The sequence below is a fragment of the Homo sapiens genome, chromosome 12 (assembly GCF_000001405.40).
Source record: "Homo sapiens chromosome 12, GRCh38.p14 Primary Assembly".
NCBI classification, from domain to species: domain Eukaryota; kingdom Metazoa; phylum Chordata; class Mammalia; order Primates; family Hominidae; genus Homo; species Homo sapiens.
The window spans coordinates 90,381,039-90,392,614 of NC_000012.12; the positions used below are offsets into that span (position 1 = coordinate 90,381,039).

The 11,576-nt window shown below is 35.1% G+C and overlaps 1 annotated feature.

Annotated features, from left to right (window-relative positions):
• Positions 633-802: an enhancer, noted in NCBI's record as "experimental_30968 CRE fragment used in MPRA reporter constructs". NCBI's record gives its function as "activates a minimal promoter by MPRAs in K562 erythroleukemia cells, with activity observed for the non-introgressed 12:90775533 variant allele {active_cell/tissue: K562}" and the evidence as "EXISTENCE:reporter gene assay evidence [ECO:0000049][PMID:34662402]".

Below are 11,576 nucleotides of genomic sequence, written 5' to 3' on the forward strand. Positions count from 1 at the left end.
AGTAGAAAATAGGATTTTTAGTCAAAATGCTCAGATTAAAATCCCAGATCTGCCTCTCACTAGCTGTATTTTTAAAAGCAGATTATAGCTCTGAGACATGGTTTTGTCATTTTGATAAAATAAAGACTTAATGCCACGCAGTTTATATAATGAGTTCATAGGTTATTTTAAGAGTAGAATGAGATAATTTAAACAAAAGTAATTTGTAAAGTGCCTTGCACATTTAGTTTTTATTATTAATCATAGTAATTAAGATACATGACATAAAAGTACTTGGCAATGTATCCTTTAAATGCCAAATAAATCTTAATTTTGCTATTATTATAAATAATGAAATTATCAATAAACCTAACCCTCATCTGCTTTCTTTATCCAAAAGTAAATAAAAACAAATGCAAAGCATTAAAACCAGGATGGTATGCCCTACTATAATGTATTTTCTGATTATCTTAGAATTTTTTTTTCCAAAAAAGAATATGCTTATTTCTGCCTTGTAATTGAGTTAGTGATTGAAAATAAAGCTAATATATTATATACTTAAGACCAACTATGTTTGATACTGTGCTGGCATCTTACTGTCTATTTGTGTAATCCTGCAGAAGCCCTATAACATAGTTCTCATCCTTTCATTTCTAGTGTAAATGCTGAGAATAAGAGTAGTTAAATAACTGGCCCCAACAGACCCGACTCCAAGATTCAAACTGCATAATCTAAGTGAAATGTGAATGAGGAAAGTTAAGAAGATGGAAGAGTAACAGAAATCAAAGAAGGAAATATCAGAATTTATATTCCCCAAAACTGAATCAGTAATATTAAGATCAGACTTGAATAACAGCCAGAAATGCCTAAGAACAAAAAAAGTGCCAAGAATATAAGAAAATATGACAAACTCCAGATGACTATATTGTTGATGATGTATTAATGATTCATATATTGTTAAAGAAAAGTGTCTAACCAATTCACTATTGCTAAAAGTCAAAAGAAAATGTGTATATTCCCCCCAAAATTAAAAATTAAATAGACTTATTTCTCTCAGGTATATTAGTTGTGAAGAATATTAGATCAAGTTAATAATTCTCACATTGGTAATGATGAGGTACCAGAGTCATGGAGGGTCATTACCATGTATCAGAATATCCTAAGGATACTTCTTCAACATAGACATCTTTTGTTTCTTACTCCCTCTTCTTCCTCATCCTTACCTTCCACCTTTCACATTCTAAAGGTTACTGTGGGAAAAGTTGCAAAGCCACCAAATTACACTGGTAAAGTTTAACTGCTAAAGTTCTGGACAGCTTGTTTTAATTTCCTAAGATTTATCTTTGTTGATAAACTTTTTGCAAACCCAGAACTTAAAATCACATGACTCTGTCTAACTTTAAATGGAGTTCAAGGTCTGACAGATTCAGAAAGGGTTATTTTAAATTTTGTTTTGTATTTTCTATACCAGCCAATCCATGATGAGCCCAGATACTGATGACTGCCTACTTCTCACAATTGCTGTGAGCCCAGAAGAAATTGGAAATTCTTTATATAACACAGCCAAGGGAACTGAACATCTAAGAATGAAAGAGATATCTGCTGGCTGTTAACAGTCAGACTAGCCAGTAAGTAATTACTATTTCCTTGTATTAGGCAGCATGAAATGAGCGTTGTAAACTCTAATATAATTTAATTCTCAAGACAACTCTCTGAGGTCATTGTATCATCACTGTCATTTTATCTACAGAAAACATAGGCTCCAAGAGTTAAGGTAGAAATCCACCCAGAGAGTGGCAGCATTACACCAGCTGGACCCAGTGATGCATCCTTGTTCCTGGCGCTTGAGCTAACTCAGCACTCTAGACCCCATGGAAAAGATGGACCAGCAAATCAGGAAGACTGCTCCTAGGACACAGAGACTCAAAGCACATGGTCCCCAGGGCCTGAAAGCCACCTGCCAGGACTGCTGTCAGCAAAGCAATCCTGTCTCCTAGAGTGGAAGGTCTGCAATCTGCCTAAGTGTACCACTCAGGGGCCAAGAACTGGCATACCTGGGGATGCCATCTCTACTGCCTGCACCTATGTGCACCTATGTATGTCACCTGAGGGCCTGAGAACTGACCTTCTCTGGTGCTACTACTGACACCTGCATCCACCAGATGGGGTTCAAAAACCAGCCACCATTGGGTTGCTGCCTTTACTGGCAGTGCCAAACAATGCTATATGGGGGCCCAAGGAATGCCCCTCTCCATGCCTGCCACCACTACTGCCAGGTCCAACATGCACCTCTTAAAGGCCTACGGACTGTCCCACTTGGGGCCTGCTACCACCACTGTTGGCACCCATGTAAAAGTGATATTTCTAATTCTCAGAACCTGACTGGGGCCCACTACCATCACTGTTGGCATATAGGCACACAACCCTGGACCTGAGGACTGGTCTACCTGGGTCCACATTTGGTGCCCATGTGTGTCACTTAAGGGCTGAAGATCAGTCAGTCTGTAGCGCACCACCACCACTGCCAGGAACCCCACCCAGTTTAGCAGTGGGACAACTGCATATCTGTGCTCACTGCTGAGGAGCCTGGAGACTGGCCCACCAGGTGTCTATTGCTGCTATTGCCGTGCTTGTGTGCACTCCCAAAGGGCCTAAGGACTAGCTCACCTAGTGTCCTTATCACCAACAAAGACTCACAACAGTTTTCACAACCACAGCCAAAGCTGCTAAGGAAATTGCAGACACCACTAACATTGATTTACAACCAAATAAATCATACAGAAACTATAATATTTCACCCACTGAGAATTAAAGCCAAAGCACCTTATCCACCTGACACTAAAGATGCATTTATAGGAGAAAGTCTTTCTCTATGAAAGCTATTCCATATAATTGAAAGAAGCCACCATTATACCAGATTCATAGCTATCAATGTAGGGACATGAGAAACACAAAAAGAAGATAGCATCTCCAAAGGAACCCAAATTTCTCTGTTAACGCCTCAATGAAAAGGAGATCTATCAAATGCTTTTAAAAAGAATTCAAAATAATGATTTTGTTAAAACCCAGCAAGTTATGAGAACAAAGATGGATGATACAAATTTTTGAAAAACTATTCATTATGTGAGTAAAAAATTTAATAAAAAGATATACAATGTCAAAAAAGAAACAAACAGAAATCCTGGAACTTAAGAATTCAAAAAATGAAATAAAATACAATTGAGAGCTTCAACAATATATTAGATAAGCCAAAAAAAATCCTGAACTTGAAGACAGATCTTTTGAAACAATCCAGTTCAGACCAAAAAAGAAAAAAAAGAAGAAGAATAAAATAATTGAAGAAAGCCTATATGACTTATAGGATACAATGAAGCAAACAGACATTTGCAATTTTGGAGTTCCACAGGAGAAGAGATGGAAAAAGCCATAGAAAACCTATTTAACCCTTTTTCTGTTTGCCCTGAGAATACTTGCGCTGGTGGTTATTGTGGCTCCAGCATTTACCCTGAGATAACTGCCATGAAATATCTTGCTTTTATTATTATTTTTGTATTTCCCTAGCATTGTTTTGGAAACAAAAGACATCATTATACTTACAGCATTCTGTTTTCAGTAGTGGTATTTCCAGTTACAAAATATAGTAATTCTCAATTCTTAAAAATGTCAAATCCTAGAAAACGTAGCATTCCTATGTGATCTTAACATCATTCTCAAACACTTGTTGGCTGAAGATTCACTTAATAAATCTGAGTTTTTCCAAAATAGGTAATTCTGATGATTCAGATGATTCTGATGTTAGTTCTGTTTAGAAATAACTCCAAGAACAGTTTTTTATATTTTATTTGTACATTGAAAATCAGTCATATTTGCTTCAGCCTCAAAGAACATGTTTATGCAAAATTAAATGAGCACTAGCAGTGAGCTGCACTATTTTTTTTTCTAAACAGGAGAAATGTTAACAAAATAATAGCTGGAAACTTCCCAAGTCAGGGAGAGAAATAGAAATTCAGATACAGAAAGCTCAAATATACCCAAACAAATTGAACCCCCAAAAGGTTCTTTCCAAGATGCATTACAGCCAAACTGTTAAAAGTTGAAGACAAAGAGAGAATTGTAAAAAAAGAAGAGTATCAAGGTATCAAGTCATAAATAAGAGAATCCCCATTGGAGTAACAGCAGATTTTTCAGCAGAAACCATATAGGCCAGAAGATAATGAGATAACATATGTTAGCTACTGAATTTTTAAAAAAGCTGTTGGTAATGAATACAATACCCAGCAAAGCTATTCTTCAGAGACAAAGGAGAAATAAAGTCTTCTCTAGACAAGCAAAAATTGAGATAATTCATCGCAATTGGATTGGCCCTCCAAGAAAAGTTTAATAGAGTTCTGCATTTGGAATGCAAAAGATGATATTTACCATCATGAAAACACAAAAATATAAAACTGACTGAAGAGTAAATACACAAATGAGAAATAGAATGGAACCAAGCCATTGTATTTCGCTACAGAACACCACCAAATCACAAATATGTACAATAAGAGAGAAATAAAGTAACAAAGAATATACAAAACAATTAACAAAATTATAGGATTAAGACATTATTGATAACAACCTGGAATATAAACAGATTCAACTTTCCAATTAAAAGATATAGAGTAATGGAATGAATTTTTTACAAAAGACTTAACTATATGCTTCCTAGGAGAACTTTACCTATAAAGACACACATATACTGAACGTGAAGAATTTAAAAAAGCAACCTATGTACATGAAAACCAAAGGCATGCAGGAGCAGACTTAAAAACACTCATAATCTCAGCACTTAGGGAGGCAAAGATGGGCAGATCACTTGAACCCAGGAGTTCAAGACCAGCCTGGGCAACATGGTAAAAACCTGTCTCTACAAAAAATACAAAAAATAGTGGGGTGTGGTGGCATGCACCCGTAGTCCCAGCTACTTGGGAGGCTAAAGCAGGAGAATTGAGGCTGCAGTGAGCCATGATTGCACCACTACAGTCCAGCCTACGTGACAGAATGAAGCCGTGTCTCAAAAAAAGAAATAAAGAAACAAAGAAAGTCACTAATGATGAAAGGATCAATTCAGCAAGGTGATATAACAACTGTGAGTATATATGCACCCAACCCTCAAGCATCCAGATTATATAAAACAAATATTATTCAGACTAATGAGAGAGATATACTCTAATACAATAATAGTTAGTGATTTCAACACCCTACTTTTAGGACTGAAAAAATTATATATGCAAAAAATAAAACAAAAACATAGGACTTAAACTGCACTATAGACCAAAAGAACCTGAAGGACATTTAAAGAGCATTTCATCCAACAGCTACGGAATACACATTCTTTTCATCAGCACATGGAACATTCTCCAACATAGACCATATGTATGACACAGAACAAGTCTCAATACATTTTTTAAAAATCAAAAGCACATCAAGTACTTTCTCATACTACAATGAAATAAAACTGTAAATCAATAAAAGAGTAACTTTGGAAAATGTACAAATACATGGAAATTAAACAACATGCTTTTGAACAATGACTGAGTTAATTTTAAAAACTAAGAAGAGTCCGGGCGCGGTGGCTCAGGCCTGTAATCCCAGCACTTTGGGAGGCCGAGGCGGGTGGATCATGAGGTCAGGAGATCGAGACCATCCTGGCTAACAAGGTGAAACCCCGTATCTACTAAAAATACAAAAAATTAGCCGGGCGCGGTGGCAGGCGCCTGTAGTCCCAGCTACTCGGGAGGCTGAGGCAGGAGAATGGCGTGAACCCGGGAAGCGGAGCTTGCAGTGAGCCGAGATTGTGCCACTGCAGTCCGCAGTCCGGCCTGGGCGACAGAGCGAGACTCCGTCTCAAAAAAAAAAAAAAAACTAAGAAGAGGATCAGTTTTTTAAAGCGAATTAAAATAGAAACCCAACATACCAAATATATAGGATACAGCAAAGCAGTGCTAAAGGGTAAATTTATAGCAATAAATACCTACAACATAAAGTAGAAAGATTTCAAATCAGCAACTCAGTGATGAACCTTAACAACTAGAAAAGTAAAAACAAACCAAACTCAAAATTAGTAGAAGAAAAGAAATAATAAATATCAGAACAGAACTAAATGAAATAGAGACAAATAAAATAAACAAAAATGTTATTTTTTTTGAAAAAGTAAAAATTGACAAACCATTACCTAAACTAAGAAGTAAAGAAGGAAGACCCAAATAAATAAAATCAGAAAGAAAATGAGACATAAAAATTGATACCACAGAAATACAAACGATCATTAGTAATATGGTTTGGATTTGTGTCCACATCCAAATCTTGTGTTGAATTATAGTTCCCGGTTTTGGATGTGAGGCCTGGAAAGAGCTGATTGAATCATGGGGGCAGATTTCCCCCTTGCTGTTCTCATAATTGTGGGTGAGTTATCAGGAGATCTGGTTGTTTAAAAACATGTTGCATCTCCCTCCTTTCTGTCTTCCTTCCTCCTTGGCCATGTGATACATGCCTGCTTCCCCTTCATCTTCTGTCATGATTGAAAGTTTCTGGAGTCCTCCCTAGCCATGTTACCTGTGCAACCTGTGGAACTGTGAGTCAATTAAGCATTTTTTCTTTAAAAATTACCCAGTCTCAGGTATGTTTTTAACAGTACAAGAATGGACTAATACAGTTAGTGACTATTATGAACAGCAATACACCAACTAATTTGAAAACCTAGAAGAAATGAACAAATTCCTGGACACAAATAACCTGCTATAATTGAACAAGAAATTGAAAACTAGAAGAGAATAATAAGGAGTAACAAGATTGAATAAGTAATAAAAACCTTCCAACAAAGTGCTGAATTCTACCAAACTCTTAAATAAGAACTAGTAAGAATTGAAACTCTTCCAGATATTAAATAAAATATAATTCTTCTTGTCATTCTACTAGTCCAACATTACCCTGATCCAAAATCAGAAAAGGACTCACACACGCACACAAAAAACAGAAACTTCAGGCAAATATCCTTAATGAACATAGATAAAAAATTCTCAACAAAATACTAGCAAACCAAACTCAACATCACATCAAAAAGATTATACATCATGATCAAGTGGGATTTATCCAAATGATGCAAGGATGGTTCAATACATACTAATCAATAACTGAAAAACAGAATGATGGGCAAAAACCATATAACCATATCAATGGTTATACAACAATCATTTGATAAAATACAACAGCCCTTTATGATAAAAACTCTCAACAAGTTAGGTGTACAGGGAACATACCTAAACACAATAAAAGCCACATATGAAAAACACATAGCTAACATCCATACTTAATGAGGAAATGAAGCCTTCAAATTACCCCTCTTGGCAAATACATTATCTTATATATAGAAAAACCTAAAGACTCTACGGACAAAGGCTTAGAACTGATAAACAAGTGTAATACAGTTGCAGGATACAAATTCAGTATAAAAATCAGCATTTCTACATAGCAATAACAACCTAGCTGTAAAAGAAATCAACAAATTAATTCCATTTTCAATAGCCACCAAAAATATACCTAGGAATAAATACAACCGAGGAAGTAAAAGACCTGTACAATAAAAACTACAAAACACTGATGAAAAAAATTAAAGAGACCACAAAAATAAAAAGATATCTCATACTCATGGGATTGGAAGAATTAATATTGTTAAGATGACTATATTATCCAAAGCAATCCGCAGATTCAAGATAATCCCTAACAAAATATCAAAGATATTTTTTATAGAAATAGGAAAAGCAATCCTAAAATTTATATGAAATCACAAAAGACCAGAAATAGTCAAAGCAACAATGAGCAAAACGAAGAAAACTTGAGGCATCACACTACCTGACTTCAAAATATACTACAAAGTCATAGAAATCAAAAGAGCATGGTGTCGGTATAAATACAAAAGCATAGACCAAGGAAACAGAATAGAGAACACAGAAATAAATGCATTTATTTACAGCCAACTTATTTTTGACAGAGGCCCCAATAACACACGTTGGGAAATGACCCCCTTTTAAAGAAATGGTGCTGGGAAAACAGAATATTCATATGTAGAAGAACAAAACTAGACCCATATTACTAACTGTATACAATAATTAATTCAAAATGGATTAAAGTTTTAAATGTAAGACCTGAACCTACAAAACTACTAAAAGAAAACATAGAGGAAATGCTTCAGGACATTGGTCCAAGCAAATATATCATGGTTGAGACTTCAAAAGCATGAGCAACAAAAGCAGGAATAGACAAATGAGATTATATCAAAGAAGTCAAAGCTTCTGCAAAGCAAAGGAAACAATTTACAGAGTGAAGAGAAACCCTGTGGAGTGAGAGAAAATATTTGCAAACTATTTATTTGGCAAGGCATTAATAACCAGAAAAAGATAAGGAACTCAAACATCTCAACAGCAAAAAAAATAATAATAATAAAAAATAAAAAAAATAAAATCCAATTTAAAAATGGGCAGAGGATCTGAATAGACATTTCTGAAAACAGGTCATACAAATGATCAAAAGATATACGAAAAAAATGAAATATCATTAATCATTAGGAAAATGCAAATTAAACCACAATGAGATCTCATCTTACTCAGGTTTAAATGGCTATTAATAAAAAAAAAACACAAAAAATAAGAAATACAGGTGGCAATGCAGATAAATGGAACTCTTATACATTGCTTATGAGAATGTAAATTACTACACCCATTATGGAAAAGAGTATAAATGTTTTGCAAAATCCAAAAAACACAACCACCATGCAATCTAGCCATCCCATTAATGGACATTTATCCAATCAAAAGAAAATCTGTGTACCAAAGAGTTACCTACACTCCCATATTTATAGCAGCACTATTCACAATAGCCAAAATATGTAATCAACCAAAGTGTCAATCGATAGATGAATTTATAAAATGTGGTATATATACACAATGGAATAATGTTTAGCCATAATATAGAATGAAATCCTGTCATTCCTGGAAAAATGGATGAGCTTGCAGGACATTATGTAAAATGAAATGTCAGACACAGAAAGATAAATACTTCATATTTCACTGAAATGTAAGAGCTAAAAAAATTGACATCATAGAAGTAGAGAGAATTGTGGTTATTTGAGACTGAGAAGGGCAAGTGGGCAGGGGCGATAGAGAGGTATTGGTGAATAGATGCAAATTACAGCTAAATAGAAGGAATAAGTTCTAGTGTTCTATAAACACTGTAGAGTAAATATGGTTAACAATAATTTTTTGTGTATTTCCAAAAAGCTAGAAGATAGGAAGAAATCATAAATGTAAAGAAATCATAAATGTTTGAGGTATTAGACACACTAATTACTTTGATTTGATCATTATACATTGTATATTTGTATCAAAATATCATTCTTAATCACATAAATATGGGTAATTATTAGGTGTTAACTAAAAAAAAAAAAAATGGGAGTCAAGGTAAATTGCCCAGTATCACTGAACTAGCAAGTGGTGAACCAAGCAATTAGATTCCAAAGCCATGACTACAATACTTTTACAATTTAAGATTTTTCTGGGGAAGTGTCTGTGAAAGAAAATAAAATATGAGAGAGAGACAGAAAAAAGAAAAAGAAGGGAGGGAGAGAGGGACGGAAGAAAGGGATAGTGCTATTCAAAGAATGAGAGGTAAGTCAAGATCAGATAAGTCAAAAGAAGCAAATTCATTAATGTCAGAGAATTTGGAAAAAGGAAATACAAACATCAATAAGGAAAAGTAGAAATAAATGTTAAGTGGAGCAGCTCAAAGTCTGAAAATGTTTAAGTTATAAGTAAATGAACCTAAATTACTTCTTGTCATTAAGGAATTGCTTTTCTTTAAGTGTTGAGGTTTATAGAATAATATAATTTCAGTCTTGAAAAGGTAGCTTAAAGTTATCTCGCTTAACCATTTCTCTTATGCTTGAATTCCCTTTAAAGCTATTGTGTAACATCTTTGAGATTATGTTGATGCTCATAGCATGTAATCTTGTGGTATACTATTCTCTTCCTTGTGGTATACTATTCTCTTCCTCATTGCCTTTACTTCCTTCTTTCATTGCAAGACGTGAGTTCCTGGCTTTTGGTTTTCCCCTTCACCCTTATTCCAGTTTTTATTCTTAGTGACTCATTATCTGTAGGAATATCCAGTCCAATGTTCATTTCCTTGGCTTCCTCTTTTCCTATCCAGACACTATTCTAGGATTGTCTGAACCTAATTATTTTAAACCACTGCTTTAAAACAAACTTCTGCCAAGAATGGTCAGAGACACTATTCTGGCTAACAAGACATAAGCAGAAATATGCTAGGTCCATAAATTCTTTATTCAAAGTCCATATCTTATTTTTCTCACTTTAAAATGGTTGTCTTTTTTTGCTAAATGTGCCTTCTTACCACTCATTTATTTTAACTCTCTCAAACCTGGCTTTAATTCCGAGTGCTACCCTAAAATAGACTTCTAAAAAAATCATCAGATTTACACTTTATCAAACTCAATAAATATGTTTTTCATCTTTATCATACTACACCTCCATAGATACTATATATTTGATACTCAGTAGATACTATACGTTTGCTCACTACTCCCTTTTAAAAACATTCTTCTTTCTTTGATACTATTTATCTTTTTTTCCCACCCTCATTTAATGCTTCTCTTTGGTTTCTTCTCCTCTTTTCTCCTCCCTTATCTGACCATTAACTATTAGAGTATACCAGAGATTGATCCTAGACATGCTTCTCTTCTCATTCTCCTTCTAGATAATGTTATCCAGTCCATTTTAAAAAATACTATTGTATTAGTTTCCTGTGGCTGCTGTAACAAATTACTGCAAAATTAATGCTTTAAAACAGAAATTTATTTTTTCATAGTTCTGAGGGCCAGATGTCTATGATCAGTTTCACTGGGCCGAAATCAGGATTTGTGCTCCCTGTGGAGTTTCTGGGGGAGATTGTTCCTTGTCTCTGCCAGCCTCTAGTGTCAGCAGGCATTCCTTGGCTGGTGACTGCATCACTTCAACCTTCAAGCCCTGCCTTACCAAAAACCCTTTGTTTTGTCTCATATTGTTTTCTCTTCTATGTATGTGTAAAATCTCTCTCTGCCTCCCTTTTATAAGGATACATGTGATTTTATTAGGGCCTACATGGATAATTCAAAATAACCTCACCATCTGAAGATCTTTTAATTACATGCACAATGATGGCTGGGTGTGGTGGCTCACAGCTGTAATCCCATCACTTTGAAAAGCTGAGGCGAATTACTTGAGGTCAGAAGTTCAAGACTCACCCAGCCAACATGGCAAAACTCCGTCTCTACTAAAAATACAAAAATTAGCCAGGCATGGTGTTGCACCTATGGTCCCAGCTGCTCGGGACACTGGGGCAAGAGAATAGCTTGAACCTGGGAAGCAGAGGTTGAAGTGAGCCAAGATTGTGCCACTGCAGTCCAGGCTAGGCAAGAAAGCGAGACTCTGTTTCAAAAAGAAAAATGCAATGACACCTTTTTAAATTTTTGCTGTATATGATAACATTCTTAGGTTCCAGAGATTAGT